The sequence below is a fragment of the Homo sapiens genome, chromosome 6, assembly GCF_000001405.40.
Source record: "Homo sapiens chromosome 6, GRCh38.p14 Primary Assembly".
NCBI classification, from domain to species: Eukaryota; Metazoa; Chordata; class Mammalia; order Primates; family Hominidae; genus Homo; species Homo sapiens.
The window spans coordinates 149,837,168-149,859,387 of NC_000006.12; the positions used below are offsets into that span (position 1 = coordinate 149,837,168).

General features: G+C 43.6%; 1 protein-coding gene and 2 long non-coding RNA genes across 4 annotated transcripts in view; 1 reads left to right on the top strand and 2 right to left on the bottom strand.

Moving 5' to 3' along the window:
* The window catches only part of RAET1E-LRP11 (RAET1E-LRP11 readthrough), a 77,374-nt gene that overhangs the window by 18,411 nt on the left and 36,743 nt on the right, over positions 1–22,220 (bottom strand). The window contains exons 10-12 of the long non-coding RNA NR_182438.1: positions 15,836–15,993; positions 5,816–5,957; positions 171–296 (exon numbers count right to left, since the gene is read on the bottom strand). This is a non-coding gene — a long non-coding RNA (RAET1E-LRP11 readthrough). The remainder of the gene's footprint in view (positions 1–170; positions 297–5,815; positions 5,958–15,835; positions 15,994–22,220) is intronic.
* LRP11 (LDL receptor related protein 11) overlaps positions 1–22,220 on the bottom strand; it is a 45,603-nt gene that overhangs the window by 18,411 nt on the left and 4,972 nt on the right. The window contains exons 2-4 of one of the 2 annotated variants that reach the window (NM_032832.6): positions 15,836–15,993; positions 5,816–5,957; positions 171–296 (exon numbers count right to left, since the gene is read on the bottom strand). In NM_032832.6, coding sequence (NP_116221.3) covers positions 171–296; positions 5,816–5,957; positions 15,836–15,993 — 426 coding nt within the window. Of the gene's footprint in view, positions 1–170; positions 297–3,270; positions 5,510–5,815; positions 5,958–15,835; positions 15,994–22,220 lie in introns of those variants that run through there. The other variant, NM_001410946.1, reaches the window with a different exon arrangement.
* On the top strand, positions 15,247–16,024 carry LOC124901427 (uncharacterized). The gene is made up of 2 exons (XR_007059808.1): positions 15,247–15,397; positions 15,817–16,024. It is a non-coding gene; the product is annotated as an uncharacterized LOC124901427 (long non-coding RNA).

The following is a 22,220-nucleotide window of genomic DNA, read 5'->3' on the forward strand; positions in this document are numbered from 1 at the left end:
TAGACTAGAGACATATTGAATTCTCATTTAAGGCATAGCTTTTACATGTAAAGTTATAACTAAAATCAAGCAGGGGAAGGACACTGTGTTTGCATTTCATTCTCAGAACACAGACCTCCCAACTCCATCCCTTCCAGCCACTGCCTAGCAATGTGACATAGCCAACTCACGATTCTGGCAGAAGTCTTCATCAGACCCATCAGGACACTGCTGCACTCCATCGCAGGCGAGCGTGATGTCAATGCAGCAGCCATCGTCACAGAAGAAGTGGTAGCGTGAGCAAGTGTGCAAACATCCTATTTGTAAACAAATCTCAAGTCACACGAGTGCAGAAGTTCAGACTCTCAAGATGGGGATGACAAAGGGGAGTCCGTGGGGATGATAAAATGCACTTCGGGGAAGAGATGCAAATAATGAGGCAAACCTAACAATTCCAGCAACAGGTTCTGGAGAGGTTGGAGGGCTCTTTTTGAGCCTCCCGACTTAATTCTTCAGACTCCTCAGGGGCTCTTGGTCTGAGGGCTGTTCTCCATGCTTGCCTTGCCAGGAGGTGGCACACAGAAGCAACAGCCCAGGTCTCTCTCCACCCTTGATTCCCCGCCTCAGCTGTCTCCCTCTTCATTCATTCATTCATAGAAACCATTGTTGGAACCTCTTCTTCTGGCTGTCGATTGCTCTGCAGGAGGGCACCTAATACCATCCCATCCCCTGGATGGCAGTTGGCTATGTTTTAACAGAGATACCATTTATTTATTTATTTACTTACTTAAGACAAGGTCTCACTCTGTCGCCCAGGCTGAAGTGCAGTGGCACAATCTTGGCTCACTGCAACCTCCGCCTCCCGGGTTCAAGAGATTCTCTTGCCTCAGCCTCTGGAGTAGCTGGGACTACAGACATGCACCACCACACCCGGTTAATTTTTGTGTTTTTTGGTAGAGATGGGATTTCACCTTGTTGGCCAGGCTGGTCTCGAACTCCTGACCTCAACTGATCCACCTGCCTCGGCCTCCCAAAGTGCTGGGATTACAGGTGTTAGCCACCGTGCCTGGCCCAGAGGTACTATTTTACATATGCTATGTCTTACATTCTTGTCTCCTAAGTAATACTTTTCACTGAGATTAAGTTTTTACTATTGAATCCTATTTGTTGATTATCATAACGTCCCTGGTACTGTAGAGAATAAACAAAATTTAGTTATGGGCTGGCATGAATTTAGTTTCATGAAATAATGACATTGGCCAGGCGTGGTGGCTCACACCTGTAATCCCAGCACTTTGGGAAGCTAAGGCGGGTGGATCACAAGGTCAGGAGATCGAGACCATCCTGGCTAACACGGTGAAACCCCGTCTCTACTAAAAATACAAAAAATTAGCCGGGCTTGGTGGCATGCACCTGTAGTCCCAGGTACTCGGGAGGCTGAGACAGGAGAATCACTTGAGTCTGGGAGGCAGAGGTTGCAGTGAGCCAAGATTGTGACACTGCACTCCAGCCTGGGCGACAGAGGGAGACTCTGTCTCAAAAAAAAAAAAAAAGAAAGAAATAACGACATTTCTCCCTTCTGGAGTTCTTAGGAGCTTTTAATTTGCAGTGCAATTCATAGGAGCTACAAATATTTTCCTGAAATGCATTTTCCCTCTCCCTTGATTAAGCCAACTTTATTAGACTTAGCTAGAGGAGAACCGGGTGACTATCTGGTACTGGCAACATGGACTAAGGCACAAGGCTAGAAGCAGGTCACAGGAGCTCCACGGTTTTACAGGGACAGAGTGGACTAGACAATTCTCTCAGGAACATGGGGAAGTGGCAGATTATATGATATTCCTTCAAAACCAAATGGCTGAGCACAGTTCACAAACCCAAGTGAAATCTTGGACATACACTTGGTTTTTTTTTGTTTTTTTTTTTTTTGTAGATACAGGGTGTCACTATGTTGCCCAGGCTGGTCTTGAACTACTGGACTCAAGCAATCCTCCTGCCTCAGCCTCCCAAAGTGCTGAGATTACAGGTGTAAGCCACTGCGCCCGGCCTTGGACACATCTTTTATTGAAACGTGGTTAAATCAAGAGGTTGGAAAAGGAGTCTATCTTGGTGTGAGGCAATTTGAAGATATATTGATCCAGGAGGAAGAGAAGTTAAAGAAAATAAATGGTGATAGAAGCTCCTGCGGAAGAAGAGGAAGCAAAGAGCCTGCAGTTATGACTGAGAACATGGGCCTGAAGGAGAGTCAGCTCCGGCCACTGGGAAGAAGCAGGGAGCGGAGGTGGGGGACACGCTGGATATCAAGCAGGATACAGTTCCTCGTCAGGTTTCTTAAATTCATGGCATGAAAATCCCAGATATCTCAAGGTTTTATTTATTCTTTGGTGATTTTGGAGATGGATCCATATTTGTAAATTTTCTATCTATTTTTGGATTAGCAGCCTCCAAACTTTTTTGATCATGCATCCTGATCAATAATATATTGTTGAACAGGCATCTCCAGTTTATTTATTTATCTATTTATTTGAGACGGAGTCTCGCTGTGTCGCCCAGGCTGGAGTGCGGTGGCACAATCTCAGCTCACTGCAGCCTCCAGCTCCCAGGCTCAACTGACTCTCATGTCTCAGCCTCCTGAGTAGCTGGGATTACAGGCGTGTCCCACCACATCCGGCTAGTCCGGTTTATTTATAAATAATACGTGCATACTACTGTACTAACATGGGGTGTATCTTATAAAATATACTCAAATTTTAAGGAAAAAAATTAAAAATCAGCAAAAATATAAACTCTGCTGTCTTCTTTCTCACCCTAAAAATGTCTTGAACAACTCAGGGGCATCCTGTTTGGAGACTGCTGAGTTAGATCATGTTGGAAGAGCTTGCTGGCTTGCTGTTTGATCATTTTTCTAAGCATGAAAAATGTTCAAAATGTCAACTTATTAAAAATTGAACCAAGTTATGATCATATAAGCAGGGTACCTGCTCATCTGTCTACCTCAGCTAGTGTCACCCTTGGTTACCATAACATCTGGGTCATTCATTGCAAGACCAATACATACAATGCAGGGGAGGGAAACACTTGTCTCTTCTACCTCTATTTTCCAATGTCTCTCTGTGGTGTTTTATTAACTTTAATTCATAGCATGTTATTCCAATATAACCACTAAGTGATTCTAGACAGCAGTTAGTACTTCACCAATTCCTTTTTATTTTCCATATAAAGTTACCCACACAAGACCTATACTCAAGCGGCCACTGAGTAATCAAAAATGATTCACACACCACTCTCTGCTACTTCAAATACAGTTTATTATCATCTTGGAGAAGGGCCAGAAATTTACAGCTGGCAATTTACCTCTGGAGCCCGGAAAGCTGCCTGAGGAAATAAACCAGGACAAACAAGTGGCCGGTGAGGTGCTGGCCATCTGCTCATATCAGTGCAGGCCCTTCCTCCCTCCCAGGCACTTCAGCTGTACAAGAGCAATCCTTTTCTGATTTCTGTGGGGATGACAGGGTATCTGTGTCTTTTTCCCAAGAGTCCCTTCCTCCCAGAGTCAGCACTTGACTCAGACCCTGTCCAGGTGAGTCCCGGTACCCAGGGGGAAAGCCCTCTAGAGGGCGCCCAGATCTACAGAAGTGAGCCATCCCTGCTGGAGACAATGTCATGTCTCCACTGGTCCTGGTGGCCAAGGGACCAATGATGTTTTGAGTAGCTGCCCAGCAAAGGGACTCAACAATGTTTTGAGTAGCTGGCTGGCTCTCCTGTCCAGCTGCAATGAATTAGCAGGGCTGATGGAATCCGGGCTGAGCTGGACAGACTGTTTACTCGCTATCACTGGTGACCTCACAGTGCTGGCACGGGCTGGAGTTTGGTGCCTGTCCTGTCTGTGAATGGTTACCCTGCTTCCTTACAGTAAGCTTAACCCCTGGCTGGACAGGTTGTCATCAGCCAAACAAATTTTTAATGCCGCCTATGAAAATTATCAAAGTTGACAAGTCCTTAGGATCCTAAAATCTCTAACTCCTTAGAAAATTTCATTTCCAGTATGCATACTAACCTCAGTTTTTGATAGAAGGCTAGATCCAATATAGTACAAGTAAATCACAGTCCTGTTCCAACTCTTTTATCCTCATTCTGCACTCTGCTGGCTTAATTACCATCTGGATCCTGAGTATTGAATACTGAGAATTCAAAAATGTCACAGACTTACTGCAAGTTTACCAGAGTCAGGGACCACCAGTGCACCACTCTATCCCCAGTGCCTGGCAAGGACCCTGCACACTGCATACACTAAGAAAATACACGATGACCGAGTAACAGGATATTTAAATGTACAAGACCTTAGCACCTCTCCAGAAGTGAATTGTGTGTGTGGTGAGGGGTTCCCTCTACAATACTACAATATCTTTAGTGTCGCTAAGTTCCATGCAATGGATATTTTAAAAAATTTGATGACCTAATCTTTCTTAGACATGTAGACGTTGGGCTGGGCGCGGTGGTTCACGCCTGTAGTCTAAGTGCTTCGGGAGGCTGAGGCGGGTGGATCACCTGAGGTCAGGAATTCGAGACCAGGTTGGCCAACATGGTGAAACCCTGTCTCTACTAAAAATACAAAATTAGCAGGGCGTGGTGGTGCACACCTGTAGTCCCAGCTACTTGGGAGGCTGAGGCAGGAGAATCACTTGAACCCAGGAGGCAGAGGCTGCAGTGAGCCGAGACTGCACCACTGCACTCCCACTCCAGCCTAGGCAACAAGAGCAAAACTCCCTCTCAAAAAAAAAATGTAGATGTTTAGAAAAGTAAGAAACATAGATGAATGAAATAAGTTTTACATTGTTACATTGTACAACAGAATGTGAGAACCATCATATGTATTTAAAGTTATATTATTAATATAACTGCATCTGCGTAAAGTGTCTATGAAAATGTGTAGGTAGCACTTTCAAATTGATGGGTCCTTTGCGTATTTCAATTAATTTTAACCGTACTCCTTAGCTGCACTCTTTTTCTCTTTCTAAAATTTTTGAAGTGACTTATTATATCAGCAATTGATTACACCCAAGAGCCAAGTCTTTCTTCAATCCTGTGGTATGCCTTTTCCTTGTTTTTTTAATATGTATTTTTAATTGACAAAAGAGGAGAGTATATATTTATGAGGCACAATGTGATGTTTTGATATATGTTTGCATTGTGGAATGATTACATCAAGCTAACTGACATATCTATCATCTCCCCTACTTGTAATCTTTTTGTGATGACAACATTTAAAACCTACTGTTTTAGCAATTTTGAAACAGACAATACATTATCATTAACTATAGTCACCATGCTGTGCAACAGATCACCAGAACCTGTTCCTCCGGTCTCAGTGACACTTTGTACCCTTTGACCAGCGTCTCTCCTTTCCCAGTCCGTCCCCCGCACAGCCTCCAGTAACCGCCATTCCACTCTCTGCTTCCACGAGTTCAACTGGTTTCACTAAACTCCTTAGCTTCCCTCTTGGAACAGATGCAGCAAATGGACCATCCATCTGTAAACAAAGTCCTCTCCCAGAATAGCCAAGCAATTGTCTTTGATGAAGTCGAGTCAAGAGAAGCGGGAGCATCTCTTCTCATCCCCTGGAGTGCTTCCTCCACCCCAACCCAGTAGCATCGGCTAAGCCCAAAACAGAAGAGAGCCTGCTTTTGTTATTGTGTTTTTAGCAAAGACTCTCTCATTCAGCAATAACCAAAAATAAAATGGAAGAGCCCATGGAGCGCAGAGCCAGAGGACAAAGCGCCAACCCGACATTGCCTTCCACAAGCAGTGGGAAGCGAGGGAAGGACTTTCTTCTCACCTCCTGTGGAGTAGGCTGCGCGAAGCACTGTCACTGACACGTTGTCAGAGCTTCTCTGCCCGGCAGTGTCCGTCACGGTCAGCTGGAAGGTGTAGGTTCCCTCCTGTAGGTGGGACAGCTTCAGGGTTCCTGATTGAGGCACCTGCCACACAGATGGGACACATCACGTCGAGCAGCAGACTTGAGCTCCGAGCCCAACACCATCCTCAACCGAAAGTCCATGTCCTCAGAGCAGCCCCAGGACCTGCCTCTGCACTCCGGCCCGAGGCTGCTGAACTACATCACACACTGTTGGCAGCTGGCCCACCTTGAACTCATAAGTTCTAGTTTATTTAGGTGGCCAAGGCCTTGACTGACAATCCCTTCACTTGTCTGCAGCAGTTGCTGCTCCAAACCTGCACCTCATCCCCAGCCTCACGCTCAGGATCCAGGCCCTGCCGTCTCAGCAGGGGGACTCATCAGCTTCAGGGAGAAAATCAGGACCATGACTAGGGCTCCACCACCCACCTCCTCCTGGTACCCTACCTGTACCCACTGTCACTTCCTTCTGACAGCCAGCAGGGAGAAGCTGTCCCTCCTGTGTTCCAGGCCAACCCCTCCTTCTAGTCCTTGCCCCCTTTCTTTCTAGGACCTTTAGAACACTGACACATCGACTCATTTCTCTTTCAAATGGCTCTGCTATTACTATGCTCAAGTTTCTCTCATCCTAAGAAACAAACAAAACAACAAATAAAAAAAATTCCCTGAGCTCTAAGGGCTCACCAGCCACAGCCCCGCTTCCTTCCCATCTCCACTTGGCTCCCTGAAAGGCCTGGCTGTGCCGTGCTTGCTGTTTCTGTTTGCTCACTTCCCATTTAGTCTTCGCCCACCCAATGTAGCTGCTTTCCCCACCATCCCCCTGAAACAGTGCTGGCAAAACTCACTAACTGACCTAGCAAAAGTCTCCTAGGTGTCAAGACCAACAATACTATTTTTAAAAAATCCATGCTTGGTTGGGCACGGTGGCTCATGCCTGTAATCCCAGCACTTTGGGAGGCCAAGGCGGGCGGATGATGAGGTCAGGAGATGGAGACCATCTTGGCCAACATGGTGAGACCCCATCTCTACTAAAAATACAAAAATCAGCTGGGCATGGTGGCGTGCGCCTGTAGTCCCAGGTACTCGGGAGGCTGAGGCAGGAGAATCGCTTAAAACTGGGAGACAGAGGTTGTAGTGTGCCAAGATCACCCACTGCATTCCAATCTGCTGACAGAGCAAGACTCCATCTCAAAAAAAAAAAAAAAAATCCATGTTTAACTGGCCCTCTTACTGTATCTGGCCATGCTGGCCACTTTGGCTGTTTGAAAACCCCTGCTTCCTTGGCCTCCTTTTCTATCCAAGTTCCCCCAGTCATTCATTGCAGAAGCCCTCCTGGGCTTCAGTTCTGATCACTCCCTAACCCAGGGCTCCATGCTTGCCCTCTGCTCTCCCAACATTCACAGGCAGCTTGCTGAGCATGCTGGAACAACAGCTTCTGAAGCTCAGCTCTGTGGTAGGATTTTGGGAGTCACTGCTGGACAGTCAGCCTGAAGACTGTTTTTCCAGCTCTCCTAATGATTCTATTACCTATTTAATATTCTATTTAAAAAAATTCCTTTCTGCTTAAATGAACTAGTCTGGATATTGTCCTCTGCAGAATGCTGACCATTTGACATTCTATTACATTGATGCGTTAATAATGGACTTTGGAAATTACAGAGGATGGGATTGTACTATTATAAGAACCATCTGCTTGTTTTTAATTAGGAAATCCTAGAATTTGGACTGACTTAGGCTTAGAGGATTTGTCAACATTACATATACACACCCATAGGATGCTTTACAATCATTTAGATATAATGAGATTACCGTGGTTGTCATATGTTATGCCACTTTAGCTAAGGTATGGATTTCCAGGTCCCAGCCTCAGAGAGTCAGAGTCAGTGGGTTGGTCAGGAGAGCAGGACCCAGGATTCTACACTTACCAAGCCCACCCAGGTGACCCATGATCACACTGAAAGAAACACTGGTGCGTGGTTAAGAGCACAGAACCCGGTGTCCAATAGACATGGGTTTGAATGCCAGCCCTACCCCGTACCAGCTGGCTGATGATGTACAAGTCACTTAACGTCTCCAAACCTCATTGTTTTCATTTGTAAAATGGAAGTAATAATAGCACCTACCTGATGAGGATCAAATAAGGTAACTCATGTAAAAGAGCTGGGCCTGGCCCATAGTAAGCGCTTAAATATATCCACCATCTCCACTGGTTGATTCTTATCTCTAACTGAACATTACACAATGACTCTTTACAGACAAAGAAACGAATCCCCGTGAAGTGATTTTCATTCACTGCGACAGTGACAGAATTGAGACCTCGAGTTGTAAAACAGTCTACACTGGCCTACAAGCTGTCCACCACTTTCCCTGCAAAAGCCTTACTTTGGAGGGCTGGCAATGACGGCCACCTGCCTTTTGTTGTTTATTTCAAAGAGATGTTAAGCAGTGCTCACTGCCACGCTGTTACATTACCTTCAGGCCCAACTACACTGACAGAATGCCAAACGGGTCATTTACGTGAGTGCTAAAATACTAAGGGCAGCAGAGAGAGCTCTAATGACAATAAGAGAACTTCCAAAGAGCCTGGAGTGGGCTGCTGATGCTAGGAATCAGAACCCACTGAAATAAAAGTGGAAGTCAGTCTGAGACAGGACAAGACCAGATAATGTCTTAATCTGATCAGATAAGACTTGGGGCTCAGGTCTTATCTGTCGGATAAGACCAGGTCTTATCTGGTCAGATAAGATCAGAGAATCAGATAAATAAGAGTGAAAACAAGACTAGAACTCTGGTTTGAGACCTCAAGATTGCATTTAATGATCCTTCTATCTCACCTCCAATCCATCAGGAATTTCCATGGGGTCTGCCTTAAAAACACATCCAGAATTTGACCATGTATCACCCTGTCCGCGGGTACCACCTTGCTCTGACCCCAGCCTGTCTCTTGCCTGGGTCACTGCAGTGGCCAGGAGGCCTGAGCTCTGGGAAGACCAGGGTCTGCTGTCTCCTTTTTTCTGGAAACTTTTCCTCCCACCTTCATCCGCAGTGAGAGGAAGGTCAGTTATGGCCTCTTCCCATGGGCACCAGGCTGAACCAAGGCAAGACAAAGACAGGGCAAGGTGCAGGTGGTGAAGCTCAGAGCTGCATAAGTGGAGAGGTGGGCGGGTGTGTCACAGGCTCTGGCTCTCTTTAATCCTAGCTCGGAACCAGGCTGGTGGGCAGCAGTGCAATAGCTTATGCCCTCATTTACTGTCTCTTGGGACTTAGGAACACAAGGGAGCATGGCTGCAAATGACAGGCATGCTGGAGTATGTCTAGGTGAGACCCTGCAGCCTTCAGTCAAGTAAGGTGACACAAGAAAGCTGCTCTGTCCCAGCTGCTCCGCCTGAAAGCAGACAAGAAGCCCTGAGACTGCCAGGGAGCAGCAGGTGCTGGCCCCCTGCCATGGTATGTGAGTGGAGGCGTGGGCTGCAGGATTGATTCGGAGCAGAGATTTAGAAGGTTGGTGTGACGGGGATGCTGAGTCATGACCAGATTCTGAGAGTGGCCATCGGAGTGGAGACAAAGTTAACAGAGATTTTAAAAAACACCAAGGGGCCGGGCACAGTGGCTCACGCCTGTAATCTCACCACTTTGGGAGGCTGAGGTGGGTGGATCAGTTGAGGCCAGGAGTTTGAGACCAGCCTGGCCAACAATGGTGAAACCCCATCTTTACTAAAAATACAAAAATTAGCCAGGTGGTGCATGCCTGTAGTCCCAGCTACTTGGGAGGCTGAGGCATGAGAAACTCTTGAACCCAGGAGGCAGAGGTTGCAGTGAGCCAAGATTGCACCACTGCACTCTAGCCTGGGTGACAGAGCGAGATCCTATCTCAATATAAAATAAAATAAAATAATAGAATAGAATAGAATAGAATAGAATAGAATAGAATAGAATAGAATAGAATAGAATAGAATAAACCAAGGAAGCACTGAGGCCAGGGAGCTGGGTGTACCATCCATGAGGCTGCTGGCGTCACCCTGTGCCAGAGCTCCCTGCAAAAGTCAGTGAGTCACTGAGCTTCTGGGTGTCAAAGCTCAGAGTGCCAATGTCAGACTAAACTCTGCAGGCCTGCGGTTCACTAGCAAGCCTCTTGTCAACACTGGGGCTGAAAGGACAGAGCATCCCTGGGTCAGGGGCCATCCTCACACCTGGCCTTGGCATGCTTCCCCCCTGCCTGCCCAGGCACTGCCTCTCTGATACAGGCAACACTGGGTCCAGATGCAGATGATGATATCACCTCAGCCTCCTGAGCACACTCCAGTTTAGATCTATCCAGATTGAATGTCCCTTCCCTAGCTCTTTTAGCTAACGAGAGCTGTCTCTCCTGCATTCAGATATTTAGAAGATGTAGAACTGTCACACGGATGCTTTCCCTTTAAGGGCCCAGGTGACCCTTCTATACATTTTCTCCCATTAGGATGACACTGGAGAGAGGGTTTACAGTGTTTCACAGACATGTTCCAAGTATCAGGATAAAAAACTATCTATATATGTACACACAACATATCCAATTTGTAACTTGGAAAAAGACATGATCATAAACCAGGAGCTCCCAATCTCTGCTCAAGATCCCTGTTCAGCAGTAACAGCCTTTGGTGGTTGGCTTCTGGCCAAATCAATGAATGACTCAGCCTGTTGTCTGACTCAACCCCATCTTCCTAGCTAGGAATTCAGTGGCTAGCAATACACGTTTGGGCTTCTCATATATGTCTAAACTAAATTACACACACACACACACACACACACACACACACACACACACACACACACACACACATTGTATATACTTGGTTACAAAGACTTAGTAATACCTGTCTATTTAAAAAAATTATGTACAGCAGGTAGGCCAGGATGCAGTTAGTTTTAATTTAATAATGAAGTTGTTGGTTTAAATAATGCCCATCCTTTAGCAAGCTTCCTTACGTGTGGTTTTCTGAAGTCACTGCTGTAGACTGAATGGCTGAGTGCCCTCCCAAGGTCACATGTTCAAACCTAACGCCCAGTGTGATGGCGTTTGGAGATACGTGCTCATGAATGAGGTTAGTGCCCTTATAAAAGAGGTCCCATGTTATTAAAAAGTAAAAAACAAAACAAAACAAAAAAAACCCCACCAGATGCTGGTGAGGTTGTGGAGCAAAGGGAACACTTACACACTGCTGGTGGGAGTGCAAATTAGTTCACCCATTGTGAAAAGTGGTGTACTGTGGAAAGTGGTGTGACAATTCCTCAAATAACTAAAAACAGAACTATCATTTGACCCAGCAATCCCATTACTAGGTATATACCCAAAGAATACAAACTGTTCTACTATAAAGACACATGCATGCATACGTTCACTGCAGCGCTATTCACAATAGCAAAGATATGGAATCAACCTAAATGCCCATCAACGGTAGACTGGATGAAGAATATGTGGTACATATACACCATGGAATACTATGCAGCCATACAAAACAACAAGATCATGTCCTTTGTAGGAACATGGATGCAGCTGGAGGTCCTTATTCTCAGCAAACTAATGCAAGAACAGAAAACCAAATACCACATGTTCTCACTTATAAGTGGGAGCTAAATGAGAACACATGGACAGAGAAAGGGGAACAGCACAACGCTGGGACCTACTTGAGGGTGGAGGATGGAAGGAGGGAGAGGTTTAGAAAAAAAACAAAACTGCTGGGTAATATGCTTAATACCCAGGTGAGGATATAATCTGTACACCAAGCCCCTAAGTCATAAGTTTATCTATATAACAAACCTGCACATGTACCCCTTAACCTAAAAGTTAAAATATGTTTAAATATAAAATAAAAGAGGCCCCAGAGGGCTGCCTTGCCTCTGTTGCCATATGAGGACACAGTGAGAAGATGGCTGGTTATAAAATAAGAAATGGGTCCTCACTAGACGCCAAAGCTGATTGTACCTTGATTTTGGACTTCCCAGCATCCAGAACTGAAAGAAATTCATTTCTGCTCTTTAGAAGCCACCCAGTCATGGTGTTTTATTATAGCAGACCAAATGGACTAAGATAATCATTTAGAAAATTTTAAGCAACTGACGAATGTAAATCAATATACTGATTTATGAATTCCAAATCTCCTGAATGTCCTACTTTGTATCATGTTCCTAAATGTCATATTTTACATTCTGACTTCAGATTTAAATGTATTATGTTTAATAACCATGAAAGTCAGCATCATTTAATGGGTTGCCTGAAAAATATGTGTCATCTTGCATTTTGATGTATTATAAATATTCAGTTAAGTGGATGTAAAATATCCTGTTCAAGGGCATAAAATATATAACTTTAAATCCAGTGGATAGCCTCTTGGTTCTGACCAATCATCCATTCTGTCTTCACAAATGAAAAAGACAGATCAGGTGCTGTGGCTCATGCCTGTAATTTCAACACTTTGGGAGGCCAAGGAGGGAGGATTGCTTGAGCCCAGGAGTTTGAGATCAGCCTGGGCAGCATAGTGAGACCTCATCTCTACAAAAAGTTAAAAAAAAAATTAGCCATGACTATAGTCCCAGCTACTCAGTAGGCTGAGGTGGGAGGACTGCTTGAGGCTGCAGTGAGCTATGATTGTGCCACTCACTGCACTCCAGCCTGGGCAACAGAGACCCTGTCAATGAATGAATGAATGAATAAACGAATGAATGAGACAAGTCAGGAACATGAGCTTTCCTGTATGCTTAGTGCCTAGTACAGTACTGGACACATACCAGATGCTTAAAAATTAACTATTAATTGTTTCATAACTAATCTGACAGCATAATTCCTTGCAGGTTGAATACCTGTCTGGGTCACTTGGACATGAAAAGATGGGCCCTAGAAGCTGATCTTAAAGTATCACGAGGCAAAGGGAGAGATCACTACTCTGCCTGAGAACAGACAGCAAGGGTGAGGAGCCCGTGCAGATGGTGGAGAGCAGGGGAGATGAGAGGAGGGATGAATGGCTCAAGAAGAGGAGGAGATGGGCGCTCAGGGGAAAGCCCAATCAATGGACACTCTTGGGTGCTAGGGACAGTCAAGGGACTTAGGAACAAGGGCATCCAATAACAGGTTTTAACTTAACTATTTTGCTGTGTGACTGCCCTCCCTCTATTCTCAACAACCTTCAAACTTAGCCCCATTTTGCAGCTTGAGGGCGGAGTGCATCAGTGTTCCAGTCAGCAGGAAGCCATTCTCAGAGAAAAAGGAATTTGATTTGAGAGGCCCAATTCTCCTGGCAGAAATGTTGGGGTGTGAAATAAGGCTGCTCAAGTTAAAGGGATCAGAGGCATAGCTCCTGAGGGTTAATTACTGTTAAAGGAAAATTCTCAAAATAGTAAAGCTATGACTGTCACACAAATATAATATGAATATTTTTCAAAGACATTAGTTAAAGAGGGAACCAATAAGGTGTTCAACTGATTTAAAGAATCTGAAGACTACACATATACAGGCAATCATGAATGCCAAAAAGAAGTTGCTAGGAGATGCAAAACTGAAATGGGTTTGCTAATCAGTACTGAAATGAATCTACTAATAGATCGGTTAGTATCTACATGTACTAAAATGTCATGTTTGAAATCTTATTTTCTCTAGGGTGAAAGTCAATTACCCCTATATACCTAATTTTCTTTTGCATTTCTATGGACAAGAATCATTTGGTTACTATCAGTTTTCTGCAACTTATAGATGTTAACCCTGAAGGATCCACTAACCAACCCAGCATTCCATTGAAAGGTACTTAGTAATCTTTTGCCCACCTCAAAGTCTTCCACAATGTTTCCTGACAGTCTTCATCCACCAAATGGGGATGTGCCTACAAGTGAGGGTGTCCAGTGGATTACAGATCTCTCTAAGCTGCCTGGCACTCAGTGGGTGCTCAATCCGTGGGGGCTTTGATTATGATGAAGTCTCAGCAGGATGAGTGTTAACTTTGGGTGACATTCATGAATGTATATCATTCTAAGACAGTCACAAATTGGTAACAGATGTTTCCCCTAGTACAGGCCCTGTCATTTAGATGATGGCTTCATAACTTGAGGTCTACCTGCCGTCACTGTTATACACGATTGGGAACTGGTTCAGAGTTTCCTCTTGAAGGCAAGAAAAATGCAGCACGAACCCACTGTGTGATGCAGCTACTGACACAGTTCATGTAACGAAGCTCATTAATAGAAGGAGAGGCAATATCTGGATCACAGTAGGTAATGAATGAGTCAGAAAACCAAAGCTTAAATATGGGGTTCAATTAGGGGTATTAGATGTTAAGAAGGGTATGGATTAATATGAGAAAATCCAGACAAGGCAGGATAGTGGCGGGCCTGAAAAATCAATTCATATGAGGAACATCTGACAAACTGTGGGGTGCTGAGTTCTGAGAACAGCATACCAATTGGTGATGTTCTTTCTTTCTTTCTTTCTTTTTTTCAAAGACTTCCAAAGCTTTTACACAGGATAAAAAGATGAGTTCAGTGTTTTTCCAAAGGGAAGACCCAACACCAATGCACAGAAGTAAGGGGAGGCGTAGCCTGCTTGCCCAACACAGTGATGAGTAATGTCATGGACATGATGTGAAGTAGTGAGCTTCTGCCCTTGGAAAAGTCAGACAGATGGCAGATGAGCCTTGGAAGGGGTGTTGTGGAAGGCACTCTTGTTTGGAGGAGAGGCTGGGAAGGATGCTGGGTGTATTAGTCCATTCTCACACTGCTACAAAGAACTGCCCGAAACTGGGTAATTTACAAAGGAAAGAGGTTTAATTGACTCATAGTTCCACATGGCTGGGGAGGCCTCAGGAAACTTACTAGTATAATCACCGCAGAAGGCAAAGGGGAAGCAAGGCACCTTCTTCACAAGGTGGCAGGAGAAACAACCAAATACTTATAAAACCAGCAGATCTTGCGAGAACTCACTCACTATCATGAGAATAGCATGGGGGTGACTGCCTCCATAATTCAGTAACCTCCACCTGGTCTCTCCCTTGACACGTGGAGATTATGGGGATTACAATTCAAGATGAGATTTTTGGGTGGGGACAAAGGCAAACCATACTGGACGAGGGTGAGTCCAATTCTAATGCAATATAATCAGGGAGTAAAATCACTCTTACTTAAACCAGTGATGAGGGACTTCCAGATTTGTTTTTGTTTTGGTTCCAGTAGAGTACAAATCAGTGCCTCCTTACCTCACCCTCTTTCTCCACTTCCTCTAACTGAAGTGGTTTGGATGCAGTTTATCTGCCTAAGCCAGGAAGTGCTTATTTGCCTAAGCCAGGAATCCACCCTGAGAGGGTGAATAAAAAGCCACTTGTCTCACCACCCAAGACTTCCTGAGCATAGGCAGCCACCAGCCACATGGCTGATTTCCATCGGCGGCTATCCCAGGAGCCCCGGGCAGGAGCCCCGGGCAGGAGCACCGCATGCTGGCCTCCCTCCCTCACAGGCTCGGTGTGCCCCAGCAGACCTAGCTGCCAGGTAAGCTGTCTACTTTCCGGCTCATGTGAAGGATAAGTTCATCCTATTGTTATTGTCCTCTTTAGACTCCTTTGTAGTTTCAAATTTTCTACCTGGATCTTGAGCTCAGAAAAAGAAATAGAACTTTAAAAAAGTAATCTGAGTCATTAAAACAAAGCATGAGCCTTCTTCCTTGAAGTGTCTTTGTCCTCTAGACAAGTCACAAACAGCAGCTAGAAGGAGGGTAGGCTCCAAGACAAATGATCGAGATTGCTGCTCACTCTCAGCAGAAAAGCACATTGAGATAATAAACCATTTTGGCATAATCAGTTTTATACAGTCTCCATTTTATGCCTTCTGCTAGCGTACAGACATTTAGGGAGCATGAAGTGGCAGGACATTACAAAAGACCACTTCACTGAAATACTCGTTTTTGTTAGCAGTGACAACATGCGTTACCTTCATGTCCACTGACGGGTCCCCCTGCAGCAGTGCCCACTCATACTGGACGATGGCGTGGTCATCTGTGCTCTCGCGGCCGTCTAGAACCACCCCGTCTGTGGGCAGATGCAGAACCACATCCTGCCCAGCCTTGCTAAGTGGAGGCGCATCCTTTTCTGAGAAAGAAAATAAATAATTCATAAAAGATGATTTCTTATTTTTTCTAATTTATGGAGAGGTATCTTGTTTGCTGAATAGATATGATTCGGCAAATAACTGCTAAGAGAATCCATATTAAATGGAAATTATTTTTCTATTTATTTTATGATCGTGGAATTTAGCTATAATATGCGCAGAAGAGGCTGTGTGGAGTGTTGGCTGGTAGCGATTTTGGGTACAAGGCAGCATACGAGGTCCCACCAATGTGTAAATATGGAGAAGCAGTTTTATTTTCTAGAGTGGATTTTTCACTTAATTTTAAAATCACTTAAGTTCAAAATACTGTTAAATAAATTTATTTTAAAAGATTATTATTATTTTGAGATGGAGTTTTGCTCTTGTCACCCAGGCTGGAGTGCAATGGTGCAGCCTCGGCTCACTGCAGCCTCTCCCTCCCGGGTTCAAGCGGTTCTTCTGCCTCAACCGCCCGAGTAGCTGGGATTACATGTGTGTGCCACCACATCCTGCTAATTGTTTTTTGTATTTTTAGTAGACACAGGGTTTTGCCATGTTGGCCAGGCTGGTCTCGAACTCCTGGCCTCAGGTGATCCATCTGCCTCGGCCTCTCAAAGTGCTGGGATTAGCAGCGTGAGCCACTGCGCCTGGCCTTGAAAAGATTATTAAAACAAACCTGAAAAACACCAAATTCACCTCTAATATGGATTTTCTTTTTTTCTTATCCTCAAGTTTTAAAAATAGGAGTGATATAAAGTATTCAATGAATGGGAAATATATTAAGTTTGAAAAGTTAAGGCAAATTTTTAGAGCCATACAAAATAAAGCCTGCATGTAAATTCTCTGGAATCCAATTTTTCATCTAGGAAAATTGAAGACGTTCACCGTTTCTAATAACTAATTTTTATAATAGAAGCCAGCAGGCTCAGATGACTACAACAGCAAAATAAATCTGTATTTACCTTTGTTTTTGTTTTGTTTTGCTTTTGAGACAGGGTCTCTATCACCCAGGCTGGTGCACGATCATAGCTCACTCACTGTAGCCTCCAACTCCTGGGCTCAAGTGATCCTCCTGCCTTAGCCTCCCGAGTAGTTAGGACTGCAGGTGTGTGCTAACCTTCCCACCTATTTTCACTCTTTTGTAGTGAGAGTTGCCCAGGCTGGTCTTGAACTCCTGACCTCAAGTGATCCTCCCACCTCAGCCTCCCAAAGTGCTGGAATTACAAGTGTGAGCCACTGCACCCAGCCTATATTTACCTTTAACCTAGAATGGTACTAAATAATATAAGGTTAATTATGTTTATTTCAATATTAATACTTTACTGACAGCTGCTACAGGGATGACCGAAAGGATAAGCTGTACAAAGAAAACATTTCTAAGAGCATAGTTACCAAAATTTTAATTGATGTAAGCTTCTTAGTAAATTCACCCAAATGCACACATATTTTAAAGAAACAGCAACAGAACTGGAAAAACTCTACAGGTTTGTGTACCACGCCCTCTTTGGCATCCACTTCCCCATTCCTTCAGTGCCAAAGCTCTGGTTCGAGTGCTGGCTGGGCTTGCCCCTCTTTGGCTCACCCTGCACAGTGCTGCAAGGCACCGCCTCTCCTCCTGCTTTCGAGCCCATCACTTTCCTCCACAGGGGCCAATGTTGCTACCTACACAAACTTCTAAAGGGCCAAGCCACACATCCCAGTGCTTGAGTTTCGGGGCTTACTGCAATCCCACCTCAGTGTCTCATTACGGAACAAAAGGTGACCACTCTTGATACATTGCAGCTGAAATGACTCTTCTGGAAAGCTAATCTGACGGGGTCATTCTGCGAGTAGGAAAAACCCTTCAGCAAGTTACCATTGCCTTTCAGATGTTTAGGACCTAACCCTCCAGGATTCTCTTCTCTTCTAGTGGTTCCCTCAATGCCCAGCACCAGGGTGTGGCAACAGGTTGTCATCAGCAACCAGAGCAGCCAGTTTCCACTAACCCTTTCCTGTAATTCTGATGAATGCATAAGTTAAACATTCAAGCTGGAGAAACTGGTGCCTGAGTACAAGGCCTGGAATGTGAAAACAAATACATTAAGACCTCGCCTGGACTTTCTCAGACCCTAACATCTGATCGAAGGCATTCTTACACATATACCTTGTATCAAGGCCACTTAAGATTAAAGAAAATTTTCCAAGGCTCTAGAGACTTTCCAGACCCCAGACCCTAAAGATTAGACTGAATGAAACACTCCTGCTTGTAGGTGCACACTCTCACACAGGCATAGAGGTTGAATTGAATGTAAATAAACACTGAAGAAAAACTTGTAACTTTGAGTTGGTCTGGTGAGTCACTCCCACCATCTTCCTGTCACCAGTTGCAGAAATAAACTCCCTTCTTTCCCAGTCTGTCTGCATCTCATTGGAAAGCGAGAAAAAGCAGCCGGACCTTGATCATCCAGGAACAAGGGGATTTATGTGAGGGGTCTGGGGCTCTTAGAGATGCGGCTTTTCTGAATGAGAATGCTGCTGCCAGCCACAAAGGGAAGATGCCTTTTTTTTTTTTTTTAAAAAAAAAACACATTATGAGGAATTAAGCACAATTGCTTTTTACATGCTATTGCTAACTATGGAGAAGACGTGTCCCATTTTTCCAGTCACTTAAGAGTGAGGACTAGTAACTGTGATTTAAATAAGCCAAGTAAACAATCCCCTGCCTAGGAAGAAACTTGTTCTTCTGCCTTTTTCCACCTCTGAACAAACACGGAGTGTCTGATGTCTTTATGCTGCTTCTGCCAGGTAAGGAGAGATAGGACACTTGCATTATTTTGATAGTCCTTTCATAGTGTTGACCTTTTCTTTGGTTCTGAAAGGTTCATTGTTTCCACACAATGGTTTATGACTTTATAATTCTGGAAAGCATCTTATAACTCAGCAGTTATACATTACAGCTAGCAGCTATTTAAACTTTGTTAAAAATACATTTTTAAGTAGACAAATGAAAATATGTCTATGTGATATAAACAGTAATGGACACATAATTTTTTAAAAACTCTCAAAGATTTAAGATGGAAGAATCAGATAAGCGCTGAAATATTCCACACATTATACAATTAATTAATCCTACCTCTCCTGGAAGAAAAAGATCATTTTAGTCACTTACTTTTATTTAGGTGAGCTTTAAGATGAATTATAAGCTTAGTGAAATCATCCTATCTTCTAAACTGATCACTGATGTGTCTGAAATAACACAGATAATGTTTCCTTTTCAGTTCAAGTCCAGGCCATTTCCATTGTAAAATGTATTTTAAAATAACCCAGAGCTTATCTACCCAGAAACAGTCCTTAAAATAAACAAATAACAACACGAAGAGGAAGGGAGTGTGCCATTTTAAAATGTGTGACTTGCTAATGAAGAACAAAATATATGTAATTTTGAATTTTTGTCAAAAAAATGTAATAAACCCATGTTAAGTACTAGGGAAACACTGGTTTCTTTTGAAAACTAAACACACTTAGTAAGACCTACAGAGGTGAAATAAGACTCCTGCCGATTGAGAATGAGCAAATCAAGGTGGCATTTTATTCAGAGAAGTGTAATATAATATCAACCAGCCTCATTCACAACACGCTACTGTGCACAGAGCCTCCATGACAAGGAAGACATTCTGTGCTGTGTGGGAACGAATGGTATAGCTCAGGCAGAGCAACTGGAAAGAACCCTGAAGTCAGGGTACGGAAGCGGGGCGAGACTAGGGGAAGAGGCTCAGATACATGCGGTCAAAATCCATCATGGATTTCCAACTGCAACACTTCGGAAAAAAAATTATCCGCAACCCCAATATGATTATTGTGATTTTTGGTATGTACTGATCCAGTCCTTCTCCCTATGGTGCTGCTGATAATAATTATAATAGTTGCCATTTACTGAGGGATTTTGAAGCTGACTTTGCAAAAATTATAGCTGAGAAAATTATAACAGTGAAATAGATCTGACCTGACTCCATGTGGCTTCTAATCTCCAAGCTGTCCTTGTCCATTCCTGGGCATAGGCCGAACTAATTTTGGGAGGAACTTGGTTTACAGTCTGACTTTGAAACAGACGCGGCCGGGTGTGGTGATTCATGCTTGTAATCCCAGCACTTTGGGAGGCTGAGGTGGGCAGACTGCTTGAGCCCAGGAGTTCCAGACCAGCCTGGAACTGGTGAAACCCCATCTCTACTAAAAATACAGAAAGTAGCCTGATGTGTGGCACATGCCTATAGTCCCAGTTACTTGGGGGGCTGAGGAATTCAAAGCTACGGTGAGCCAAGACTGTGCCACTTCACTCCTGCCTGCATAACAAAGTGAGTCCCTGTGTCAAAAAAAAAAAAAAAAGTAAAAAGAAACAAAGATGGTAACAGCCCTTTCCCCAAATAAGCCCCTTTCTTGCCTGAGGACTGGACTGCCTTTGCAAAACTAACAAATAAGCCACAAGATTAGAAATTATGGCTTAGGCATCACTATTATAAAACCTAAGTTCAGTGCTTGAGATATTTTATAGACCCTGTCCTCGATGGTTGGCAGCACCCCGTTGGCAGTACCTAGGTTGATAAACTGGCTCATCTGGTCTTGTGTTTTATCCGCACAACCAGTTCCTTGTGAATTAAACTCTTTCTCTATTGCAATTCCCCTGTCTTGATAAATCAGCTCTGTGTAGGCAGTGGGCAAGGAGAACCCATTGGGCGGTTACAATTTCCTTGTACCAGGTACCAGGCCAGGTGAAGTTATAGAAAGAACTTAACTTTCACAACGAATCTCTGAGGTAGGTATTATCATCTGCATAATACTGATGCAGAAACTAGGCTCAGAGGGCTAAGTTACATCACACAGGCGATAAATTTGTCAGATCAGATACTTCTTTTTAATTATTTTTTTATTATTATACTTAAAAGTTCTAAGGTACATGTGCACAACGTGCAGGTTTGTTACATAGGTATACATGTGCCATGTTGGTTTGCTGCCCCCTTCAACTCGTCATTTACATTAGGTATTTGTCCTAATGCTATCCCTTCCCTTGACCCCCACCCCGACAGGCCCTGGTGTGTGATGTTCTCCTCCGTGTCCGTGTGTTCTCATTGTTCAACTCCCACTTATGAGTGAGAATATGCGGTGTTTGGTTTTCTGTCCTTGTGATAGTTTGCTGAGAATGGTTTCCAGCTTCACCCATGTCCCTGCAAAGGACATGAACTCATCCTTTTTTTATGGCTGCACAGTAGTCCATGGAGTATATGTGCCACATTTTCTTAATCCAGTCTATTATTAATGGACATCTGGGTTGGTTCCAAGTCTTTGCTATTGTGAATAGTGCCACAATAAACATACATGTGCATGTGTCTTTATAGTAGCATGATTTATAATCCTTTGAATATATACCCAGGAATGCAGCCCAGTTATTTCTAACTCAAAGGTTCTATCCTTCCACTATACTTCGAGACAACCCTAGGTGTATTCCAGTTACAATAAATATAATTTTACATCCTGAATTTAATCCATCAACTTATTGGTATATTCCTGTTATTGATATTTCTTCATATATCTTAGCACTGCCCATGTGATAACCTAAGCTTCACAATTGCCACTTGAGTTTCCTAATCTGTACTACTGGACATTTACTTTGTTACTTTTTCACCATTATAAATAATGCCATAATAAACATGTTTTGCTCATACGTTCTCTTCAGCATAGATGATTTTCCTAAAAAATATTCCAGAAGTATGAATATTTTAATGGTTTCTGCCACATATTTTCCAATTACTTTCCAAGAGGGAAGTACCAATTTACACCATCAGTGAGCTAGAAGTGTATATAAAGTTTCCCATATGCATGTCAATATGAGTAAAACACTTTTTTGCTCATATGTTCTCTTCAGCATGGTTCCTTTTCCTAAAAAATATTCCAGAAGTATGAAATGAATATTTTAATGGTCTCTGCCACATATTTCCCAACTGGTTTCCAAGAGGGAAGTAGCAATTTACACCATCGGTGAGCACAGAAGTGTATATGAAGTCTCCCATATGCATGCCAATATGAGTAAACCTATTTTTACCAAGTTAATAAATGAAAATTGGCCTTATTTACATTTCTTTGATTCTAAGGTCGAACATTTTTCCATGTTTATCCACCATACCTCCTCTTCTGGGAAGTGTCTGCTCATGTCCTTTGCCCATTTATTTTTATTTTTCTTGCTGACTCATATATATAT